This window comes from Homo sapiens, chromosome 12, assembly GCF_000001405.40.
Source record: "Homo sapiens chromosome 12, GRCh38.p14 Primary Assembly".
NCBI classification, from domain to species: domain Eukaryota; kingdom Metazoa; phylum Chordata; class Mammalia; order Primates; family Hominidae; genus Homo; species Homo sapiens.
In genome coordinates, this window is record NC_000012.12 from 133,037,436 (window position 1) to 133,063,299 (window position 25,864).

At 39.0% G+C, this 25,864-nt stretch overlaps 1 protein-coding gene across 15 annotated transcripts, besides 2 other annotated features; it reads left to right on the forward strand.

Annotated features, from left to right (window-relative positions):
- Positions 1-180: a silencer, noted in NCBI's record as "silent region_5134". NCBI's record gives its function as "represses an Ori minimal core promoter by ATAC-STARR-seq in GM12878 lymphoblastoid cells {active_cell/tissue: GM12878}" and the evidence as "EXISTENCE:reporter gene assay evidence [ECO:0000049][PMID:35858748]".
- On the forward strand, positions 74-25,864 carry ZNF84 (zinc finger protein 84). Of its 15 annotated transcripts, none has more exons than XM_047429507.1 (6): positions 74-119; positions 1,440-1,577; positions 3,665-4,047; positions 10,520-10,646; positions 11,318-11,413; positions 19,519-25,864. In XM_047429507.1, the coding sequence occupies exons 3-6, from the start codon at positions 4,033-4,035 to the stop codon at positions 21,495-21,497; spliced, it is 2,217 nt and encodes a 738-aa protein (XP_047285463.1). In that variant the 5' UTR covers positions 74-119; positions 1,440-1,577; positions 3,665-4,032; the 3' UTR covers positions 21,498-25,864. The 15 variants fall into 15 exon arrangements, with proteins under 15 accessions (XP_047285463.1, XP_047285460.1, XP_047285462.1 ...); XM_047429504.1 differs by having other exon boundaries at positions 3,843-4,047; XM_047429506.1 differs by having other exon boundaries at positions 74-110.
- Positions 21,475-21,675: a silencer, noted in NCBI's record as "peak2056 fragment used in MPRA reporter construct". NCBI's record gives its function as "represses an SCP1 promoter by STARR-seq MPRAs in K562 erythroleukemia cells {active_cell/tissue: K562}" and the evidence as "EXISTENCE:reporter gene assay evidence [ECO:0000049][PMID:32103011]".

Sequence of the window (25,864 nt, forward strand, 5' to 3'; positions counted from 1 at the left end):
GCGCACAAAGGCCGACGGTTTGGGCGCGTGCGCGGGACACGGGGGACGGGCGGTGTCACGTGATCGCGAGGCCGCGGGCGCGCGGGCGCGACTCGGCGGCGGCGTCTTTTGTGAGTTCAGTGAGTTTATTGCGGGCCCGGCGCTGGGGGCTCCGGGAATGGCGGGGGAGGCGCGCGGGAGTGGCCGCGGGGAGCTTCGGCTTCAAGGCCCTGGGCGTCCGCGCGCGGATGCGGGTCTGGGGCGGGTTGGGGCTGGGCCGGGTCGTGAAGATGCCGTGGGCCGCGGAGCTGCGCGGATTCTGGGCTGTGGGGCGGGCACGGCCTTTCCGGAGGCGCCGCTCCTGGGCGTCCTTTCAGGCGGGCGTGGAGGCGCCAGCCTCGGGCGCGTTTAGCCTCGGGCGCGTTTAGCCTCGACCTCGGGCCAGCCCGCTTGCCGCGCCGTGGCCCTAAGGAGCGGCTGCCCTGCTGGACCGCATCCACCAGCAGCCTGGCTCTGCCGCTATCGAAGGAGGCTTTTAAAGCGCTGGGGTTACAGGTGTGAGCCACCATTCCTGGCCGTGTATTTTTTAATGGTTATATTTATTGACTGTTTTAAATTTTTTAAGTGACTTTTGCTTTTGGTATGGTGTAGCGAAATCTCCCCTCAAATTATACATATATTCATTCACCTGTGGTTTTTTTTTGTAGACATTCTTAGGGTTTCCATTATTTTAAAATTTAACCCACTGAAAGTAGTTGTATGAAATAGCTACGTTTATTTTCTTTCAAATATTCTTGTATTCATTAAATAATTTAATTTTACTGATGGCTTTGAAATGCTACATTTATTGCATGCTGACTCTTGCATATTTAGACAGTTTGCTTTTTTTCATCTGTATAACTTCTCTGGAGCCAGTGTCAAATGTTATAATGATTATAATTTGTATGTATTACAGTGGGCCTGTTCACACTCATTATTTTGTATTTCCAAAAGCATCCAGGCCCGGTGTGGTAGGGCATGCCTGTAGCCCCAGCTACTCTGTAGGTTGAGGTAGGAGGATCACTTGAGCCCAGGAGTTCAGGGCTGCAGTGAGCTATGGTTATGCCATTGCACTTCAGCCTGGACAACACAGTAAGACCCTGTCAAAAAAAAAAAAAAAGTGTCCGAATTGTTCTTGAACCTTTTTTCTTACACATAAACTTTAGAATTTTGAGATTCTGATTGGAGTCGATGAGTTATATAAATCATTTGAGGTCAAATTATCTTCACAATCTGAAGTCTTCCTATCCCAGAATAAAATCGAATTATAAATTTCTTTAATTCTATTTTTATAGTTCTCATTGGTGTTTTTAGTATGCTTCATATGGGTCTTGATATTCCTACATATTTTATGTATTTTGTCAATTATGAGTCGGATTTTATTTTTTTGTTATTTTATGTGAGTTGTTTATATCTTACAGAAATAAGGTTATTGACCTGGAAAGATGTTCTTCACATAATGGGAAAAAAACAAAAACAGCTTTTAAATATGACCATATGCTTCCATTGTATGAAAAATATCACAATAGTTTCCATCATCCTAAGAATGGTTACCTGTGGTGAGATCATAGATAATAGTTCTTATTTAGCTTGTGTATGTTTTTTATATTTTGCCATCATATATTACTTTTATAATAATAATTATAGCTAGTATATGTTTCGTATGACTGTGTGCCAGCTTTTGTTCTAAGATTTATGTATTATCACAATTTAAGGTATAAAGGAGTCATTTCTTGTATAACTGGGAGAAACTGCTGTGTGTTTCTGAGTTGGCACTGAAGTTTGAACCACAAAAAGGCATGAAAAAGAAAGTGCTGCTTGTTAGTGTGATACAGTTGAGGCAGGGCGTCCTTCATTTATATTTTTGTGGGAATTAGTGACTGAATGTGTGCATGGGAATAGGAGCTGACTCCAGGATTTATGTTGTGTGTGTTTGTGCATGTAGATATGCACAAATGACAATATGACTTTAGTATTCATGCTTTGAACATAGCAGGATAGAGAATTAACATTTGAATTTTGCTACTTACTAAATGTGCAATCACAGGCACATTTTACAATCACTCATTGTCCCAGTTTTCTCTCTGTAAAATGGAGATTATGTTAAACGCCTTATAGGGTTGTGCATGAGTTAAATTTAAAATGCTTAGTATATTGTCTCACATACAGAAAGCACTGGAATGTTAGCTGTAACTGTTATTACAAGGCCCCAGTCGCTTTCCTTTTAACACCTCATTTGTTTCTTAGACTCCCATTGTGAGGTCCACTTTATCTTCACCATTTTAGCAAGTACAGAAATTGAGGCTTTGAAGGCAAGAAAGGAGGGGGGAAAAACAGTAACCACAATAAACATTAAATGTATTCAATTTGTCAGTTAAAAGACACACTGTTGGTTTGGATTTTTTTTTTTTTTTTGAGATGGAGTTTCCCTTTTGTTGCACCAGGCTGGAGTACAATGGCACGGGCTGCAACATCCACCTCCCAGGTTCAAGCAACTCTTCTGCCTCAGCCTCCCAAGTAGCTGAGCTTACAGGTGCATGCCACCACGCCTGGTTTATTTTTGTATTTTTAGTAGAGATGGGGTTTCATCATGTTGGTCAGGCTGGTTGAACTCCTGACCTCAGGTGATCCATCTGCCTTGGCCTCCCAAAGTGCTGGAATTACAGGCGTAAGCCATCGCTCCTGGCCAATTTGGATTTTTTTTTTTTTAAACACCAATAAATTTGAGCTCTGAGCTGCTTATAAGGGACAAAGATAATGATGCTAAGATTTTTAGTGTAGTTGACCAGATGATAACATACCACGTAAATACCAAAAGAATGCTGAAGCCAGGTGTGGTGTTGTATGCCTATAATCCTAGCACTCTGGGAGGCTGAGGTGGGAGAATTGCTTGAGCCCAGGAGTTTGAGACTATCCTGGGCAGCATAGCGAGATCCTGTCTCTACAAAGAAAAAAAATACAAAAACAGTTAGCTGGGCATGGAGGCACACAAACCTGTAGTTCCAGCTACGTGGGAGGCTGAGGCAGGAGGATCCCTTGAGCCTGGAGTTCAAAGTTGCAGTGAGCTCTGATTGTGCCACTGCATGCCAGCCTGGGTTAGGGAGCAAGACCGTACCAAAAAAAAAAAAAAAAAAAAAGAATGCTGATGTTGCAGACTTCATCTAAGATAAAATAGATTTTAAGGCAAAAAGCATTATTGGGGGTATGAAGCGTTGTTACACAATGATTTTTTAAAACCCCTATTTAACCTTGACGCATCAAACAACATAGCCATAAGCATATAATCCAAACATCAGCAGAATTATAAGGAAAAACTGACCAATCTCTAGTCATATTGTGAGATTTTAACCCATTTCCTTCTGAAATGGGTAGACAAAAATGGCAGACAAAAGTTAAGGATATATTAATAGAAGATTTTAATAGGAAATTAGGCTCAGAATGGTGAAATTTGTTTGTTTTTGCCAAAAGTCATCTAGCTGGTAAAGGAAAAAGTTGATTGAAACTCAAATCTGTTTTAATACAGATCATATAAACTGTGTTTTTCCTAACAGCACCTGTTAAACTGATTTGCATTTCAGCATTCACAGTGAATATTGAGTGAATCTCACAATTACTTTATTTCTGATATTTCCTTATCTGTTTGCAGAGACCTAGGCTTCCACTGTTCCATTTTACTATATTCTGTTTCCCTGAGAGTGCTGTTTCAGTTATATAGCAAGCGTACCTCTGGCCTTAGATGATCGTGAATTCCAAGTTCCTAGCAAGAGAGAAAGAGATTTCATGTGCAATGTGAATATACCAGTTGAAGTACATTTCTCCCGAAGTCCACAGATCCTGGTCCCTACAAATAAGCCTGCTCATGTGAGATAAGAAAGGAGTTCCTGGAACCAGGAATTCATTCTCAGTGTAGAAGACCTAGCTGAGACCTCACTCCACAGTTTTGGGGCAGAAGCAGAAGAGACGCACAGTAGAACCGATCTCAGCCTTGCTGATCATCTCGTACAGCAGCAGAAAATGACCATGTTACAGGTGAGTTGATTGTTGAGTTCTTATTTTTTCCCAGGGAATTAGAAGAAATGTATAAGCCTTCCGGTGAAAAAGAAAAGTTTAAATAGTTAAGAAATCAGAGGAAAATAGCCTCAGATGATCAGGATTGGAACAAAATTGGCACAGTGATATATTAACTACTGGACCATGACAGGTTCTTAGGATTGAGTATTTATAGCATATTTAAAGCCATAACATCTTACATAATTACTGCATTTGAGCTGCAAACTTTGTTTTCAAATTTTTGGTAGTCGTAATAGAGAAATGTGAGCTTTTATATGCTTTGCATCGTTTAAAGGTAAAAGCAAACTGATTGCCCATAGGAAGTAAATATTTCTTGGTTATCGGGTGTCCATTTCTTTTTCCTTGATGAAGTCTTATGAATGAGAGATATGCAGTAGTTCCTCCTTATCTGCAGTTTTGCTTTTTGCAGTTTCAATTTTCCAATTTCCCATGGTTTGAAAATATTAAATAGAAAATTTCAGAAATAAGCAATTGGTAAGTTTTAAATTGCTTCCTGTTCTGAGTAGCATGATGAACTCTTGCACCATCCCACCCAGGACCTGCCTCATCCCTTGGTCCAGCAGATCCATGCTGTATATGCTGCTTACCTGTCAGTCACTTAGTAGCCATCTGAGGTGTCAGATCAGCTCATGGTATTGCAGTGCTTGTATTTTAGTAGCCCTTATTTTACTTAATAATGGCTCCTAGACATAAAAGTAGTGATGCTAGTAATTCGGATATACCAAAGAGAAGCTTTAAGTGAACAGGTGAAAGTTCTCAACATAACGAAAAATACAGGCTGAGGTTGCTAAGATCTACAGTAAGAACAAATCTATTCATGAAATTGTGAAGAAGGAAAAATAAATACATGCTAATTCTGCTGTCACACCTCAAACTGCAGAAGTTATAGTCTCAGTGTGTGGTAACTTGTATTACACTATGTTGTCATAATTGTTCTATTTTATTATTGTTGTTTATTTTTTACTGTACCTAATTCATAAACTGAACTTCACCATAGGTATGTATGTGTAGGAAAAAAGCGTAGGCTTTATAGGGTTTGGTTCTATCTGGTTTCAGGCATCCACCGGAGTCTTGGAACATCTCCTTTGTGGATAGGTGGGGGCTACTGTGGTGGGTAATGTTCTCTAGAGAAACGCTAATAAACGCATGAACCTTACGGCATTTTTCATAGCGTTCTTCAGAGTATGTCCCAAGGGTAGAATGCCAGAGCAGGACTTCATGACCATAATTATTTACTTTTTACCTTTTTAAACTGTAAGGCCTAATTTACATGCAGAAAAGTATGTTTTAAAAAATACAGTTTGATGAATTGTTATCAGTGGAATATGCATGAAATCACCACTCAGATCAGGAAATAGAATATTCTTAGCCCAGATGAGTCCCTTCATGTGCCCTCTCCCAGTCGTCACAACCTCTTCCTCCTGACAGAGGTAACCAGGATCCTTTTTTGGTCTCCATTTCCTGACTTTATAGTTCTGCTCCTATCTGTGCGTTCTTAAACACTATATTTGATTTTGTCTGCTGTAGTGTGTGCTCATTTTATTTATTTTGTCTGTTGTAGTGTATGCTCACTTCTGTCTTCTTTCACTTCACATTTTGTGGCATTCACTGCAATTGCAACTGCAGTCCTTCCCCCAGTTGAGGTGGCTTCTTTATTTTTTATTTTTTTTTGAGATGGAGTCTCACTCTGTCACCCAGGCTGGAGTGCAATGGCACAATCTCAGCTCACTGCAACCTCTGCCTCTAGGGTTCAAGCGATTCTCCTGAGTAGCTGGGACTACAGGCGCACGCTCCCACGCCTGGCTAATTTTTTGTATTTTAGCAGAGACGGGGTTTCACTGTGTTGCCCAGGCTGGTCGCGAACTCCTGAGCTCAGGCAATCCGCCTGCCTTAGCCCCCCAAAGTGTGTGAGCCACTTACAGGTGTGAGCCACTACGCCTGGCCAACATTTTTTAAATGATCATTGCATAGATGGATTATTTCATTGGGAGTTGCAAAATGGTGACAGGTTACTTTGATCATTTCTTCTTGATCAGCTAGAACACTGCTTTCCAGCATGACAGAATCTATCAAGGCACAGGTTTAATCTTTTTGTCCCAGACCTGCCGTTAGCCATTTCTACAGTAAATGGTATCTGAAATTTTGTTATTTGAAAGAATTTTCTTGCCAAAACATGGAAATACGCAATATTTTGGCATATTGACTTTGTATACGGGAACTTATTTTTTTAATTTTTTTATTTTTTTTGAGGCAGAGTCTCACTCTGTTGCCCAGGCTGGAGTGCAGTGGCACAGTGTTGGCTCACTGCAACCTCTGCCTCCCGGGTTCGAGCAGTTCTCCTGCCTCAGCCTCCTAAGTACCTGGGATTACAGGTATGCCACCACACCCAGCTAATTCTTGTATTTTTTTTTTTTTTTCCAGTAGAGATGGGGTTTCACCATATTGGTTAGGCTTGTCTTGAACTCCTGACCTTGTGATCCACCCGCCTCGGCCTCCCAATTACAGGTGTGAGCCACCACGCCTGGCCAGGAATTTCTTAAGCTTACTTATTAGTTCTAATGATTTTTCTTTAGATTTGATTAGATTTTTCATGTTAACAAAAACATCAGCAATAACTTTTTTTTTCTTTTTGTTTTAAGAGACATGGTCTCACTCTGTCACCCAGGCTAGAGTGCAGTGGCACAATCATAGCTCACTGCAGCCTTGAACTCCTGGAATCAAACATGCCTCCCACCTCAGCCTCCCAAGTAGATGGGACTACAGGCACCTACTACTAAGTACAGCTAGTTTAAATTTTTTTTTTTTTTTTTGGTAGTGACAGGTTCTCACTATATTGCCCACGCTGGTCTGGAACTCCTGGCCTCAAACAATTCTCCTGCCTCACCCTATCAAATAGTTGAAATTATAGGCATGAGCCAGCACACCTGGCCAGATCATTTTAAGTAAATGTTTGGAAGAATCACCACTAAAACTACATAGATCTTGCATTTTTTTTGAGGGAAAGTTTTAAAATTGTGGGATCAGTTTCTTTAGCAGTTACAGGATTAATTCAGATTTTGTTTCTTCTTGTTACTTTGGGTTCATTGTTTTTCAAAGAATATAGCTATTTGGCCAGGTGTGGTGGCTCACACCTGTAATCCCAGCACTTTGGGAGGCCGAGTAGGGTAGATCACGAGGTTAAGAGATTGAGACCATCCTGGCCAACATGGTGAAAGCCCATCTCTATAATAATACAAAAAATTAGCCGGGCGTGGTGGCAGGCGCCTGTTATCCTAGCTACTTGGGAGGCTGAGGCAGGAGAATCGCTTGAACCTGGGAGGTGGAGGTTGCAGTGAGCCGAGATTGCGCCACTGCACTCCAGCCTGGGCAACAGAGCAAGACTCCATCTCAAAAAAAAAAAGAATATAGCTATCTCGTCTTAAGTTGTCAAGTATGTTGGCATAAGTTTGTAATATCTTTTTAACAGCTTTATTGAAGTATGACCTCAATAAGATCCACCATTTTAATGTATAATTCATTGATTTTTAAGTAAACTTATGCTGTATAACCATCATCACAATCTAGTTTTAGAAGATTTTCCTCACCCCAAAACAATCTTTGTGACATTTTTGGTCAATTCCTCTTCCCACCCCAGCCTAAGACAATCATTAATTTGCTTACTCTCAGCTGGGCACGGTGGCTCACACCTGTAATCCCAGCACTTTGGGAGGCCGAGGTGGGTGGATCACCTGACGTCAGGAGTTCGAGAGCAGCCTGGCCAACATGGTGAAACCCCATCTCTACTAAAAATACAAAAATTAGCTGGGCGTAGTGGCAGGTGCCTGTAATCCCAGGTACTCAGGAGGTTGAGGCAGGAGAATTGCTTGAACCTGAGAGGCGGAGGTTGCAGTGAGCTGAGATTGGGCCACTGCACTTCAGCCTGGGTGACAGAACAAGACTGTGTCTCAAAAACAAACAAATAGAAATTAAGTGGGTGTGGTGGCATGCACCTGTAGTCCCCATTTCTCAGAAAGCTGAAGTGGGAGGATCACCTGAGCCCAGGAGGCAGAGGTTACAGCGAGCTATAATTGTGCCACTGCACTGCAGCCTGGGTGACAGAGCAAAACTCTGTCTCAAAAAAGAAAGAAAGAAATTTGCAGTTATCTGAATTGCTGTTCCCTTTAAGTGATGTGATTTTTTTTCTTTCTGGCCATTTATGATGTGTCTGGGTATGGATTTCCTTATGTTTATTGCCTGGCATTCACTGAACTTCTTGAATTTTTTGGTTTATATATTTTGCCAGTTTTACAGAATATTCAGCTATCATTTCTTGAGACTTTATTTTCACCATGCTCTTTCTTTTCTCTTTCTGGGACTCCTATGACACTCACATTAGAGTCTTTGGTATTATTTGATAGTGTCATGAGCTCTGTTCATTTTTAAGTCATTTTCTGTCTGTTCAAAACAGTTTCTGTTGATCTGTCTTCAAATTCTCTGACTTCTCTTAAAGTATATTGTGTGCTGTGAGGGTCAAATTTATTTTTTGATTTTCTGGTGGCATTCTAGATTTTTAAAAGATGTGTGCTTGTGTTTTCTTTTTATCTTAGGAGACTTTGAGACAGAAATCCATCTTGATCCAAAATCTAGTCACCTTTCTAAAATCTGTTTGGTTCTATCATTCCCTTTCTTGTAAGGTCTTTGATGGCTAACTTGGCAACAAGAAAGTGTCCTAGCTAAGCTAACCACATTCTGCCCCAGCCCCACTGTGGCCTTTAATCTCATCACTATCCCATTCCCTATTATCCTGTCAGACTGATGTTTTTGTATCTCTTCAGTCCTCACAGTTTTTTTTTTTTTTTTTTTTTTTTTTTTTTTTTTTTAAATCAGAGCTGCTGCCTCCCAGAATGTCTTTGCATCCTCTTTTTTTTGTGGAAAACAACTAATTTTCTAAAACCCATTTCAATTTTACCTTTTCCGTAGAGCCTAACTCTACACTCAAATAGAGTGAAGTGCTGCCTGCTTTTTATCCACACTGTGCTCTCCTTTATTTCTTAGTTACTATAAGTTTATTTTATTTGTAAGTGCATATTTGCAGCCCTCTGTAAGACAATGCGACTTTTGAGAGTATTATTTTATTATTTTCCTTCTTGGTATTTTAGTGTATTGGTTTGTTTTTGAGATGGGGTCTCACTCTGTCACTCAAGCTGCAGTGCAGTGGTGCAATCACAGCTCACTGACGCCTCGACCTCCCAGGGTCAAACAGTCTTCCCATCTCAGCCTCCCAAGTAACTGGGACTACTGGCATATGTCACCATACCCAGCTAATATTTATATATATTTTATATTATATATATATGATATTTATATTATATATATTTATATATTATTTTTAATATAATATTTATATTATATATTATATTATTTTTAATATAATATTTATATTATATATTATATTATGTATTATATTATTTATATATATATATAATACAGGTCTCACTGTATTACTTAGTTTGGTCTCAAACTTTTGGGCACAAGTGATCCTCCCGCATTGGCCTCCAAAGTGCTGGGATTATAGGTGTGAGCCACCTTGCCTATCCTATTTTCTTTCTTTTGCTACTACCTCTTCCAGTGCCAAATTTGAGGTTCAGTAAAGATTTTATTGGTGGTTCAGGGGGTTTAAAGTCACCTATTCCAGTTTGCGTGTCTTCTGTGAAAGTTGTCAGAATCAAAATGGAGTCACTAGTGTTAATTTTTTTAACCCCTACAGGTAGAGCTTGGGAAGCCTGTGAAAAAAGTGTTCTCACACTTGCATGCCTGATAAAAATTATCACAAAAGACTGCAAAAGCCACAGCCTCGTACAAAGGCCATTGAAGCCTTACACAAAAAATACTTTTATTGGGACATCTGCCCAGCAGCTGCCTGTCCAGCTTTGGACTGGTGTCACCCTTGTTATTGATCTTTGTAGCCAAGGATAACTGTTTCAAAACAATTATGTGATGCACCTCATTTTTTTCCTTTAAAAACTTTTGTCTTTCTTCCCATCTAAGTACTAACCAGGCCCGACCCTGCTTAGCTTCCGAGAACGGACGAGACTGGGCGCGTTGAGGGTGGTATGACCGTACTGGCTGTAGACACCTTCGTCTTTCTTTACCTCCCTGGATACACATGTAGTTTACTATGGCACCTGTCTTCTCATGGCAGTACTCTGTTCCCAAACAAACATCATTTTCTTCTGGAGAGGCTCTCTTTAATCTTTAGGTTAACAGTTGTATAAATGGAAGGATGGAAGAATGCACAATGACATTTTATCACACAAAATATGCAAAGGTAGAGACATAGTAGGCATTTTGTATAACTTGTTATGAGAATGAAGTGCTAAAGCTCCAATATTTTTTTCTCACATCATACGGTGTTAACTGCTTCAGATTTACCAGGATTGTGCTCTTACAGGAGTCATTCTCATTTGACGATTTATCTGTGGACTTCACCCAAAAGGAGTGGCAGCTACTGGATCCCTCTCAGAAGAATTTATACAAGGATGTGATGTTGGAGAACTATAGCAGCCTAGTGTCACTGGGTAATAAAAGCTTTCTTGAGGACCTTGGACTATGCCCAATGCATTGCCTTTTATTTTTAGTTGCTGGGAAGTTTCAGAAGCCTATAGCTAGGCTTCTGAAATTTTTAATGATTTTAGACCTGAAACTTAGATCACAGTTGCTTGGACTATGACACCAAGAAAGTATTTGGGTCTCACCTTTCAATAATGAAGTTGTAAGTTTGTCATGCAGCCTCTGAAACTTAAGTAGTAATAGTTTGAGCAGTAGTGATAGCACCTAATGCATATAACTTACTATATGCCACATCTTATACCAAGTGCTTTACGTATATCAACTCATTTAGTCATCAGAGCAATCCTATGTGGCAAGTACAGTCATTATCCATTTTTCCTGATGAGAAGATCGAGGCCAAGAGAGGTTAAGTAACTTTCCCAAGAACTAACAGCTAGTAAATTAAAGAGCCTGGATGTAAACCCAGGCTTACTGGCTCCAGAGCCTCTGAAGTGTTCAGTGGCTTTGTACTAGACCCTATTAGCCACCAAGGGAGACCGTTACTGTAACTTTGAGAATTACTTACTCTGTTGGGGTACAGCTTCACCAGGCCAACTTTGATGTGAAACCTTGCTCAACTTTAGAGGCCCTAAACCCCAAGCAGTTGGGCCCAAGGCCTTTGTGATTTTTCCCTTAACAGGGTATGAAGTTATGAAACCAGATGTCATCTTCAAATTGGAGCAAGGAGAAGAGCCGTGGGTAGGAGATGGAGAAATTCCAAGTTCAGATTCTCCAGGTGAGTGTATGAGAACCAGGCAGATGGGAGAGAGCAGAAGCCCCATGTCATCTGGTCAGTGACGGGTGGGCTAGTCAGTGATGGGTGGGCTGGTCAGTGATGGGTTGGCTGGTCAGTGACGGGTGGGCTGGTCATTGATGGGTTGGCTGGTCAGTGATGGGTTGGCATCTTTGAAATGTGCTTTAAGGATCTCTTTTCAAAATCTCTAAACCTTTGGTGGTGCCTCAGAACAATTGACATTAGCTACTCAAGTAAGTCACATTTAGACGTAGCTTCTTTGTAGCTTAAAATGAAATGTGTCCTGCTTATCTTGGCCATGACGTTATTCTCTGTAACATCTGGGACCTTGACTTCTTGTTTGGTATTCTGTCCTCTCACATGTTTGATCCCATTCAGTCCCTCCTTCCCCTGTGGTCAAAGACACCTCCGTTTGTACATTGAAGCATCTTGATTTTGTCTTCAGTTTGGGTTCTCTGATGCCCAAACGCCCCAATCTGTTCAGTCTCATTATATTAGAAAATGGAGCCGTCATTTCTCCCAATTTATCCTTATCCTCCCTTTTAAATTAAGTTCCTTTGTGTTTTTTTCTATAGATTAGACACCATGAAGTATATGAATAATCCCTTTCTTGTTTTTTTTGTTTTTTTTGTTTTGAGATAGAGTCTTGTTCTGTCACCCAGACTGGAGTGCAGTGGTGCGATCTTGGCTCACTACTCCACCTCCTAGGTTCAGGCGATTCTCCTGCCTCAGCTTTCTGAGCAGCTGGGACTACAGGCACATGCCACCATGCCCGGCTAATTTTTTTTGTATTTTTAGTGGAGACAGGGTTTCACCATGTTGGCCAGGCTGGTCTCAAACTCCTGACCTTGTGATTCCCGCTTTGGTCTCCCAAAGTGCTGGGATTACAGGTGTGAACCACTGCATATGGCCGAATAACCCCTTTCTACCATCCTTTCATGTTGTTTAAAAATTTTTTTTCTATTGGGAAAGTATCTTTTTAAAGCCTTCCTCCCTCAACTTCCGCTTAAAACTAGGTCCATGATGTCTCATTTCTGAAGTTGTCAAATTGCTGGATAGATCCAGATTCTAATATTTTACAGGCTGTCTTAATGATACCACCATATTTTATCTCCTAAAGCATCCCACACTACTCTGATCAGTTGAACCTCTTTACTCATTATCTGCTTTGTGACATTGACTTACTTCAGTTTCCCTCAAAAGCAGACCCTCAGATACTTATGTGAGTGTAAGAACTTATTGGGGACATGGTCCCCACAAATGTAGTGAGAGAATGGGCAAGTCAGACCATGGAAGTGCTGGGGGCATTAATGCCAGTGAAGGATGGGCTGACGCTCCGACTACTGCTGTGGGTAGTGGATGCTCAGTTCTCCTGAGTGCCTCTGAGGCACTGTGAGAATATTCCTCAGTCTTGATACTCTGAGGTACCAGGAAGCCCAGGTATTTATGTACTAACTCCCATCTCTCAGTCCGGAGGTTTGCTCTGCCATAGTAAGTATCCAGAATGTCCAGGGTCCCTGCATACAGACCAATCTTATGCTTTCAGCTCAAGAAAGTTCTTGGGTAGAGAGTTGTGAGTGCCTCGGGTAGGAATCATGTCAGAGTATTGGCGATGCAGTGGCAGCATCTGCTATAGACTTGTAATCTCTGCTTTCAGGGACCTCCATAGTATGACACTACTGCTGCCTGTTCAGTTATTTCTTCCTATCTCCCATTCATGGTCAGTTCCATTTAAACATTTCTCAAGTGTTTTTAGATATGTAACATCTTGAACTTTTGATGGTATTATACTAGTTACCTAGAAATTCTTAATCCTTTCCATAGGAACTTGATTTTCACTGCATTCATATTTATGAAATGTTCCTTTACTACCCCATCCTACATTTTTCTCAGCTTTTTCTGAAGTCCCATCTGTGACCTGATCGTAGTATATATAATATTTTTTAGAAGGTTGGTCCCTGAGCTTTGTTTGCACACATAAATGCAGGGGCTTATAATTAAATGTCTTCACTTTAGTTATAGAACATGTAATGTTCGATAAATTTCTTTCCAAAAGCCTTGTCTTTGTTTTTATAGACAGGGTCTTGGTCTGTTGCCCAGGTTGCATTGCATTGGCGTGATCATAGGTCACTGCAGCCTCAAATTCCTGGGCTGAAGTGATCCTCTTGCTTCAGCCTCCTGAGTAGATGGGACTACAGGTGTGTGCCACCATGCCTGTGTTTTGTTTGTTTTGTTTTGTTTTTTGGTTTTTTTTTTTGTTTTATGTGGTAAGGCAGATTTGTAATTTGAGAAACTTCTTGTTGTTTTTATGTGCCCTTTTTAGTTGAGATCCACTCACCTAGTGGGTTTAATCCTTTACTGAAAAGGATTACAAAGTAAGACCAGAAAATAAGTTGTAGAAGCATAACACTTAGTTAAGAAGATGAGATATTTGTGTTCTTTTTTAAAAAATTGAGCACTTAAAACACTGAGCATTTGTTTTATTGCAAGGCAGTGGAGAGCCTAATTATCAAGATTACACAAATGGGGGCTGTGTGTCAGAGTCCCCAAGATCCCCCTATGTTCAGAGTCACTAGAAGGACTCACGGGACTCAGCATATTTGTACTTATGACAGATTTACTACAGTGACACTGTAAGGACACAGCTGGATCACAAATGAAAAAGGCACAGGCAGAGTCTCGAAGAACCCATGTGCAGGCTTCCTAAGCTCCCTCCCTCCTGTAAGGGTCAAAGTTTACTATCCCTCTGCAGCAAAAATATAGTAACACATGTGTTTGATGTTTCTGCCCAGGAAGGACCATTGGAGATAAGTGCCCAAGGTCTTTACTGGGAGCTGGTCATGTAGGTATTCTCTGCCTAACATGTGGTGATCATATTGTTTGTATACAGTCTCGGCATAGTAATTATCAGTTAGGAAATAGTAGGGACGTTCCTGAAACCCATGTTCTCAGATGCCAGCCAGGGGCCAGTCTTGCAAGCAGGGCTTTCTATGGATGGTAGTTTTGGTCCTGATGCTCTTTTCTATCTAGACTACTTCAGATAAAATAGAATATTTATTGACTTCTTTTAAGTTACTGTGCTAGGTACTATGGGTATATTAGAGCATTAGCGATATATATTTCCTGCCAACACAGTGTTTACTTGCTGGAGGACAAAAAAAGAACAGGGTAGTAAGTAAGCAGGAAAAAATTCAGATCCTGCTAAGTGTTATTACAGAAAAATTAGATGAGAGAATGGGTTAGTCTGCTCAGTCTGCCATAACAAAATACCATATTCTGGGGAGCTTAAACAACAGAAATTTATTTCTCAGTTTTGGAGATGGAAAGTCCCAAGATCAAGGTACCACCATGATCTTTTTCTGGGGAGGGCTGTCTTCCTGCCTTGTGGACAGCCACCCTCTCACTATGTGTTCACATGGCCTTTTCCCAGTGTGTACATGGAGAGAGAGAGAGAGAAGAGATCTCTTGTGGGGTTTCTTTTTTCTTTTTCTTTTTTTGAGACAGGGTCTCACTCACCCCACCTGGAGTGCAATGGCACAATCATGGGTCACTGCATCCTTAACCTCCTGGGCTCAAGTGATCCCCCCAAGCAGCTGGGACCACAGGTGTGCAGCACCACACCTGGCTAATTAAAAACAGGTTCTTTTTTGTACAGGCACAGTTTCACTGTGTGGTCCAGGCTCCTCTGAAACTCCAGGGTTCAAGTAATCTGCCTGCCTCAGCCTCCCAAAGTGCTGAGATTACAGACGTGGGCCAGTGTGCCTGGCCTCATATCTATTTTTGTAAAGACAATAACCCTATTTGATCAGGGTCCTACCCTTATGACCTCATTTAATCTTACTTCCTTAGAGGTCCTATCTCCAAATACAGCCATTCTGAGAGTTAAGCTTCAATATACAAGTTTTGAGGAGACACATTTAGTCCATAACAGAGAATGACATGGGAAAACTAATTGTAGACATGAAAGATGTGAAATGAGCATGGGGAAAAGTGTCTCCAAAAGGAATGATAAATAACAATATGTGAAGTCAGAAAATGGTTTAGTTACTTTTAGAAACGGAATGGAAGCCCATGTGGCTGAGGTTGGTATGCCTGAGAGATACAGATAAGTTGGAGAGAGCATGGGAACTAGACCATACTCAACTTGTAGGCAATACAAAGGACTTATAATTGAGTCAAGAAATTTTGAAAAGTAAAATCTGATTTAGAATTTTGAAAGTTTAATCTGACTGCCAAATAGAAAATGTAATTGGAAGCAGGGAAACCAATTAGAAGGATATTTCATTGAGGTAATGTGATAGTTTACAGCAGAGAAAGTGATGGAGAGAGTGGGACTATTTGGGATACACCACAAATGACCAAATATAAGGCAATTCATTTTTCTAATAGGAAAAAAAGTAAAGATGGGGGAAGGCAGATGTAAATTTAAAACACATACTTAAGTATTAATAGTTCAATAATTTGATAACATTTAAAATAACATGAATGTAAGTTTAATTTATAGATGTTTCATTTTCTGCACCCGTATTCTCTGATACCGTTTTATTGAAACGTCATAGACATCTCAAAATTAATATATTAGGCCTAACAGTGTCAATTGTGGGGGCTTGCACCTGTAATCCCAGCAATTTGGGAAGCTGAAGTGGAAGGACTACTTGAGCCTAGGACTTTGAAACCAGCCTGAGCAACATGGTGAGACCCCATCTCTACAAAAGAATTCTGAAAATTATCTTGAGCATGGTGGCACGCACCTGTAGTCCCAGCTACTCAGGAGGCTGAGTTGGGAGGATCACTTGAGCCCAGGAGTTCAAGGCTGCAGTGAGCTATAATTGCACCACTAAACTCCAGCCTGAGTGACAGGGCAATACCCTGTCTCAAAAAACAAAATTAATATGTTTATAATGGGGTCTTGATTTTAACCCTCATATTTCTCCCTCAGTCTTCCTCAATTCATAAACACCATAATCTACCAAATTGTTCAAACTCCAAACCTAAGGGTAATTCTTGATTCTTTTTCCCTTTATTTTCTCCATACCAAATACATCAGCAAATCTTGTTGATTCTACCTCCACCATATAATCCTACAAATATATAACCTTCAGTTGACATTTAAATTTGTAGAATGTTTTCACATTACTGATTATCTTTCTTACCTCTAGGTACAACCTCACAAAAAATTTGAAATGTAGATTTTTATTGAAAAATGGGCCCAGCATGTTGGCTCATGCCTGAAACCCCAACACTCTGGGAGAGACCAAGTCTCTTACTGGTTTGGGAGGGTAAAGTGGGAGAATTGCTTGAGCCCAGGAGTTCAAGAGCAGCCTGGACAACATAGGGAGACCCCATCTCAACAAGAACAACAACAAAATTAGCCAGCTATGTGGTTGCACACCTGTGTATTCTGGCTGCTTGGGAGGCTTATGTAGGAGGATCTCTTGAGCCTGGGAGCCTGGGGGGTTGAGGCTGCATCACAACACTGCACTTCAATATGGGCGACAGAGCAAGACCCTGTCTCAAAAAATACATATTTTGAAGTTAACTTATAATAGTATAAATGGTTATGTCATGAGGATAATGGAAATAGAGCTATGTAACAAATGACTGTCAAACTGTCAGATTAGATTATTTTTAGAATGGGAACTTGGGTCTTGGGATAGTTTTAGTGAAAGTACACATGGATTTTAAAGTTCTGTGCCTGAATAGTTTAGATGAAAGATGATATGGTTTTGAAAATGTGTTGCATTAAGTGGCTTTCCTTTTTTTTTTTTTTAGGTTATAAACATTAACTTGATTTAATCATTTTACAACATAAACATATATCAAAATATTACACTGTAGACAGATATGTACAACTATTATTTTTCAATTAAAAATACAATTTTTTTTAAATTTAATTTTTCTTTTTCAATGAATCTTTGATTTCTTCACTTTAAACTCTTAGGTATTAAGCATACAAATGTTTAATGGCTTAGAATAGTACCTAACACATTATATGAGCCAAATACTAACTACTGCTCCAAACTATCTTTTTTCATAGCATTCTTCAAATACAAGATTATTCTGTGTATCTTATTAAAATTTATTTTTCTGCCTTATCTAAATATTGATAAAAATAGAAGGTAGGGCATTTGCCTGCTTCATGAATTCCAAAATCAAAGGGCAGTTTTACTAATTATTTTTACATTCAGTAACTCATTTGTCTCACACAGTAAACACAAATATTATGTAACAGAACTATATTCATATTCTTCATCCTAAAAATGGAGAAAATTTTGAGTTATTTATTGATTGTAGTATAGGACTCATTCTCTATTTGTTCAAATTATTCCATGTCAAGTGCCTAGAATAATTGTTCATGACATACTGTGAAATAGAAAATACTGATAGAGATGGATTACAAAAGTAAACTCAAAAAACATCCTATGAATTGTTTCATTATATATATAATAGAATATACTTATATCCACATAACAAAAAAATTAAATCTTTTTAGATAGAATAGTTGTTATAAACTGCTTAAGTTGTACATTTCATCAACACTTAATGAAAAACATCAATTTCTCACAAAAACTTCAAGCAGTAGAAGAGGTAATATTTCTTAATTCATCTGTTAGCCAGTAATACCATAATACCCAAAGGAGACAAAAGAATCACAAGATGACTATGAAACAACATCCTATTTAAATTTAGACACAGAAATTCTCAGAAATATTTAAAAAAAGAATACAAAAAGGTATAAGAATGATTACATACCATGACTAAGCAGGGTATTTTTCACAATGCAATGTTTGTTTAATATGATACAATATTACTTGAACAAAGTAAAAATGTAATAATTGAAATAGAAAAAGTTTGATAAATTCAACACCTATGAATGATAGAACACCAAGAAAACTATTAGAAGAAAACTTTTGAGACCTGCTAAAAGTCCTCCATGAAAAACCAAAATTGGCCCGGCGCAGTGGCTCACACCTGTAACCCAGAACTTTGGGAGGCTGAGGTGGAAAGACTGCATAAAGCCAGGAGTTCAAGACCATTCTGGACAATATAGGGAATCCCCATCTTTACAAAATATTAAAAAAAAATTATCTGGGCATGGTGGTGCATGCCTGTTGTCCCAACTACTCAGGCAGTTAAGGTGGGAGGATCTAAGTGGCTTTCTTAATAGTAATGTGAAGATGCATATGGCAAGTTTAAATAAAACTTTAGAATAAGAAACAATACACAAAATATTTCTCATTGTTTAAGCTTGAAATGACTAATCATTCTTTCAAATATTTTCATTTTCTTCTTAGTATTTACTACAGTGTATAGTTTGTTGTTTTAAAAATATTATCTTTTCCATTACAATATAAATTTTATAATGACAGGAACTTATTTTTTTATTTTTTATTTTTATTTTTTTGAGATGGAGTCTTGCTCTGTTACCCAGGCTGGAGTGCAGTGGCGTGATCTCGGCTCACTGCAATCTCCGCCTCCTGGGTTCACACCGTTCTCCTGCCTCAGCCTCCTGAGTAGCTGGGACTACAGGCGCCCACCACCACACCCGGCTAATTTTTTGTATTTTTAGTAGAGACGGGGTTTCACCATGTTAGACAGGATGGTCTCGATCTCCCAACCTCATGATCTGCCTGCCTCGGCCTCCCAAAGTGCTGGGATTACAGGTGTGAGCCACCGCTCCTGGCCTACAGGAACTTATTTTTTCTCTTGTGTCTCTAGTACCTTACACACTACCTGGGCATAGTGTATACTCAGAAAGTATTGAGTGAATTAATTACTCAAAACATTGGGTCAAAGCTTCTTCTAACCTTTTTTCTTTGCTTTTCATGTGTTTTTCATATTCCCCATTTAATAAACATATTTGTCAACAACCAAAGATGACTTAATCTCCAGTCAGTTTCCTGTTTCTGTTTTTAGCATTTCCTTGCAATACCTAGAAGATAGTTATTATACTTGGGACTTATTTCAGACTCGGAAACTAAGCCTTAAAAGCAGCCAACCCCTCAACATAGCATTTCTAGTTTTGTTTTGTTTTGTTTTGTTTTTAGAAAGCACAACCAAACAGATTGTTTTTGTTTCCTTTATAGAAGTCTGGAAAGTAGATGGTAACATGATGTGGCACCAGGATAACCAAGACAAGCTTAAAATTATAAAAAGAGGTCATGAATGTGATGCATTTGGAAAAAATTTCAATCTGAACATGAACTTTGTTCCTTTAAGGAAATCAAACAGTGAAGGTGACTTAGATGGATTGATTTTAAAACATCATTTAGATTTGCTTATTCCAAAAGGAGATTATGGAAAAGCAGAATCAGATGACTTTAATGTGTTTGATAATTTTTTTCTCCATTCCAAGCCTGAGGATACTGATACCTGGTTAAAATACTATGACTGTGATAAATATAAAGAGAGCTATAAAAAGTCACAGATTATCATATATCATAGAAATCGTTTAGGGGAGAAACTCTATGAATGCAGTGAATGTAGGAAGCGCTTCAGTAAGAAACCAAGTCTCATTAAACATCAGAGCAGACATATAAGAGACATAGCCTTTGGCTGTGGTAATTGTGGCAAAACCTTTCCCCAGAAGTCTCAGTTTATTACACATCACAGAACTCATACAGGAGAAAAACCTTATAATTGTAGCCAGTGTGGGAAAGCCTTCTCCCAAAAGTCACAGCTCACATCCCATCAGCGGACACATACAGGAGAGAAACCTTATGAGTGTGGTGAATGTGGGAAAGCCTTCTCCCGGAAGTCACATCTCATATCGCATTGGAGAACACACACAGGAGAGAAACCCTATGGATGCAATGAATGTGGGAGGGCCTTTAGTGAAAAGTCCAATCTCATTAACCATCAGAGAATTCATACCGGTGAGAAGCCTTTTGAATGCAGGGAATGTGGGAAAGCCTTCAGCAGGAAGTCACAACTCGTTACACATCACAGAACTCACACAGGAACAAAACCCTTTGGATGTAGTGATTGTAGAAAAGCATTCTTTGAGAAGTCAGAGCTTATTAGACATCAGACAATTCATACTGGAGAGAAACCCTATGAATGCAGCGAGTGTAGGAAAGCATTTAGAGAGAGGTCGAGTCTCATTAATCATCAGAGAACACATACAGGAGAGAAACCTCATGGATGCATTCAGTGTGGGAAGGCCTTCTCCCAGAAGTCACATCTCATATCACATCAGATGACACACACAGGAGAAAAACCCTTTATATGCAGTAAATGTGGGAAAGCCTTCAGCAGGAAATCACAGCTCGTTAGACATCAGAGAACTCATACGGGAGAAAAACCGTATGAATGCAGTGAGTGTGGGAAAGCTTTCAGTGAAAAATTAAGTCTCACTAATCATCAAAGAATTCATACAGGAGAAAAACCATATGTATGCAGTGAATGTGGGAAAGCCTTTTGTCAGAAGTCACATCTCATATCACATCAGAGGACACATACAGGGGAGAAACCCTATGAATGCAGTGAATGTGGGAAGGCCTTTGGTGAGAAGTCAAGTCTTGCAACTCATCAGAGAACTCATACTGGAGAAAAACCGTATGAATGCAGGGACTGTGAAAAAGCTTTCTCCCAGAAATCACAGCTAAATACCCATCAGAGAATTCACACTGGAGAGAAACCCTATGAATGCAGTCTTTGTAGGAAAGCTTTTTTTGAGAAGTCGGAGCTAATTAGACATCTGAGAACTCATACAGGAGAAAAACCTTATGAATGCAATGAATGTAGAAAAGCCTTCAGGGAGAAGTCAAGTCTCATCAATCATCAGAGAATACATACAGGAGAGAAGCCTTTTGAATGCAGTGAGTGTGGCAAAGCTTTCTCTCGGAAGTCACACCTTATACCACATCAAAGGACACATACGGGTGAGAAACCCTATGGATGCAGTGAATGTAGGAAGGCCTTCTCTCAGAAGTCACAGCTGGTTAATCATCAGAGAATTCATACAGGAGAGAAGCCTTATCGATGCATTGAATGTGGGAAAGCTTTCTCACAGAAGTCACAGCTCATCAATCATCAGAGAACTCATACAGTAAAAAAATCCTAGGAATACAGTTAATAGTAGTCTTTGACAGATCATCTTGGACTTCAGGAAATGCAATTATGATAACGTTTGTAGACAGTCACGTCATGTTAGGTGTTTGTACTCCATGAGGATGAGAACTCTAAATGAGGTGGTGTATGGAAAGCCGATCATAATTCATAGAGTAGAGTGAACCTATGACTGCAGTGGATCTCAAAAACTTTTAAAACCATAGACAAGCCTTATAGAGTAGAACATTCACAGCAAAGAAGAATCCTGTGAATGTCCAAAAGCCTTCCAGAAGTCAAGTCTCTTAAGCTATTAGAAATATTCCCACTGGGGATGAGGGAAAACCCCATGAATGCGGGAAATGAGGCAATATTTTTAAGAAATGACAGTTCATTGTACATAAGAAAATGCTCTTAGGAATGAAGTTCTATGAAAGTACTAAATATGGGACAGTGCAACAAGTAACGAGACTATTTTGTATTTTGGAGAATTCATATTATGGAGAACCTAACAATTTAAAGACACTGGGAACACTTGCCCCTCAGTATAGTACTGTCAAGGGAAGCCATACACTTTTTGTAGACATGGGTACCAAAAATACCCAATTCTAAGTGGTTGACAGATGTTCACTTTGAAGTGTGAAGTTTTAAAAATACGTGAATAAATTGGTTATTGAAACATCTAAGACATTTCTTAGTGGTATTTGTGGCTTATCTTCTAGTGTCACGTATGTTTTGTGTTTTGGACTTACCTATAATTTAATGTAATTGGGAGTATGAAATGCATATGCCTTTTAGTGCCTCTGATGTCTGTGAAGACAACACTACACACCACTGGTTTTTATTTTTTAACAATAATATAAAAAATGGAAACTCATGTAACATGACTACATGAATAAGTACCTTAAGTGATAACCCGTTTCTTTTAACTTATAGACATACATAAGGGGTCTTTTGTTTTTATGGACCTTTCTATTCAGTAACTGAAGCCAACATTGTGTAAGTCTTCTGCATCCTCAGAGTCTGAGTAACAGTTTATATAAAATAAATATGCAAAGGCAGGAACCACAGAATAACCATAGTAATATATAACTGAATGAGCAAAATAAAGGTGTGTGAACTACATTACAACACCCAAACTAAATGAAATAAAGTAGTGCTGTATTAAATCTTTTTCTCATTTAGTGAGGTGCCTCCATATAGTATATATATATGTATCTTAAGTGATATGTAACCCAAATGTCACTATTTTAATTTACTGTGATAAAGTATCATGGATATTTTGTGCTGCTGTTATGCTTTTTGTGTTGCATAAAATATCTTGTAAAAATTAGATGGATAAATGAATTATTAAAAAATCACATTTCTGAAGATGTAAAGTATTAGGGAATTTTGTGCTGGAAAAACATTTTTGACATTCAAGGATGCCTATTTTATCTTCTAGCAAATTTCTGTGGTCCCTGGAAAAGTACAGATGATCCTGGACTTACAGTGGGGTTACCTCCCAATAAACCCATTGTAAGTTGAAAACATTGTAAGTCAAAAATGCATTTAATACACCCAACTTACCAAACATCATAGCTTAGCGTAGCCTACCTTAAACATTCTCAGAACACATTCTAATGCATCATCTATTTTATAAAAAGGTGTTGAATATCTGATGTAATTATTGAATACTGAAGGTGAAAAATAGTAGTGTATGGATACCATTGTAATGTTGAGAAACTGTAAGTCACATCCTCTTAAGTCAGGAACTATCTGTATAAGGAAACAAGATTTCCATTTTATCATTTGAAATGTATTTGACTTTGTTTCACTAGTTGCATTATCCCCATGGAAAACTTCACATTGAGAACTTACCATTATATATTTCCATAAAAATGCATGAACCATCCCTTAGCTAAGTAAGGATTTTGTAATGTTCTCTCAATAATGTTGCTTGGCAAAGTTAATATTTTTTGTATGCTGATGAAATTTAGAAAAGTCCAATATTGAGCTTGATTGCAAACTTAGAAAAACTCAAGACTTCTCCTTTTATGTTCAAATTGTTGTATCAGTATGGTATTTTGCACCTTTACCTTAAACAATATTTTCTCCTTTAATTATTGATTTTGCAACATTTTGGGAAAGTTGGAATTTTAAATAAATGAATAATTTTCTAAACCAGAATACCAGTTCAACAGCCAAATAATTCTGTCTTTCCATGCTGTAATTTTAAAGCATTTAATTTTCCAACTTTTTGTTCATACTCAAGTGTATGAACTTCCTGGCTGGGCACAGTGGCTCATGCCTGTAATCCCAGCACTTTGGGAGGCTGAGGACCTCAAGTGGAGACCTCAAGTGGATCACTTGAGGTCAGGAGTTGAAGACCAGCATGTTCATGGCCAACATGGCAAAACCCTGTCTTAAATTAGCCGGGCATGGTTGTGCGTGCCTGTAATCCCAGTTACTCAGGAGGCTGAGGCAGGAGAATCACTTGAACCTGAGAGGCAGAGGTTGCAGTGAGCCAAGATTGTGCAGCCTGGGCGACAGAGCGAGCCTCTGTCAAAAAAAGAAAAGAAAAAGAACTTCCTACTTTTTAATATCTCAAATTCATTTTACTAGACGTGGGAGACCAACTAATGCAAATGAACAGTTACAGGGTGATGTTGTACTTTGTGATTTTTGCCCTATTTTTTCTTTCCATCTATCACCATTCTCTTTCCAATCCCAGAGATTGATTTATTAGGTCTTGGAAATTCTAGATTATTCCATTAACTATTAAGCAGTTAAACCTGATACTTCCTACACTAGATAATGGAACTTCAACATTAGCCTATTGATTGCCCAAGAACAAACATTTTTTTCTAAATGTCAGGTGTTATGGGGAGGATTGATGCTGACAGCAGAGGTCTAGTTAAAAACTGATGCAGAGGTTCAAATACGTTGTGCAGTAATCACTAGAACTCACCTTCTAAAGTGTCATGAGAGCTCTGATTCTGCAATTAGAGATTTTTTAATGTGTTTTTGAAATTACCTTGTAAACCACAAATCTGTGTCTCTGCATTGCCCCTTATTGTTTCCTACCACAAATTCTACATCAAGAAGAAAGTTTTAAAGTTAGACTGGATTTATTTGTGATTTTATGGAGCACAATAAGGTACATTGAGATAGCATACTAAAGGAGGCCAAATACAGGAAGCATCATCTTTTCTTATTCTCTTACTGCCTGGATTTTCCCACTGACCTGGAATTGTGCACAGTTCTACAAAGGACAATTGACATTGTTTTCCTTTTACTAAGTAGTGGGTTTTCCTTAAGGTCCAGACTGAATTTTGAGACCTGTATCAGGATTGCCTTCTGTGTGACTTTTTCTTGCAGGATCTGACATCATTACCTATGGGTCCATATATTTGTGATACTTTGGTTTCGGGAACATCACTTTTAGAATGTTGACATAAAATGCACCCACAGAATGCCGTATTTATCAAAAGTAACTTTCTAGCAAAATCTACAGCAGTAGGCATTTGGAATCTGCATTTGAGACCTCTGCAGTCATTTGGTCATTCCAGCAATCTATGTCCAGGTTGTCAATTTCAGAGGTCTTATTAGTCTATACAGGTACCAATGAGCTTTCAGATGTTCAACACCTACCCCTGGCCTAACTGCTGATAACCAACCATAACCCTTGCAGATGCATGCATGTTTTCTGCACCTTGCTATCATTTTTCAGTCCATTTTTCACATGTATACATAGTGATTATTTTTAAATGCAACCCTGATTTCACATGCCTCATGTTGAAATATCGTGTGGCTTATTGTGGACTTAAAGTGTAACATTCTCCTTATGGTATGTAAGGACTTTTGTATAAACCAATGCCTATCTATCTATCATTTCTGAAAACTTTTTCCTCCTATGCAATATTTTCTGGCCTCTGTGAACAACTTGTAGTTCCTTGAGATTTCTATTATCACTTATGTTTTTGCAAATCTGCAATTGAAATGCCCTTGTTCCTTGTTAATGCCTATTGAATCTATATGAACCTGTACGTGTGTTTCTCACTGTGATAATATAATCATTGCATGTTTTATCTTTCCCACTAGAAAGCTTCTAGAAAGCTAGTACTATCTTTTTTGTCTGTGTAATTTTTGCATCACAAGCTATATTTAAATGTGGGTGCAGTGAGTGGCTGTTTTCTGCCACATGGAGAAACATGGTCTGCAGTGAGAGAGAAGAATGAAGCCATGATGAAAGCAAAATCAAGAAAGAGTCCCGATTGTGTTCCAGTACCTGGTTCTTCTGGTCTTCATGTTCAGGTCCACCTCTGCCCTTTTCATGTCTTGATTGTTGAATTCTTCTGTGAGATACTCCAAATATCCTAATAAATTCTCATGTTTGCTTCA

Excerpts from the sequence above, each read along its gene's own strand:
- ZNF84 (XM_047429505.1), top strand. Across the intron at positions 10,647-11,317 it reads TAGCAGCCTAGTGTCACTGG|GGTATGAAGTTATGAAACCA; the intron begins GTAATAAAAGCT and ends TTCCCTTAACAG. Across the intron at positions 11,414-19,518 it reads TCCAAGTTCAGATTCTCCAG|AAGTCTGGAAAGTAGATGGT; the intron begins GTGAGTGTATGA and ends TTTCCTTTATAG.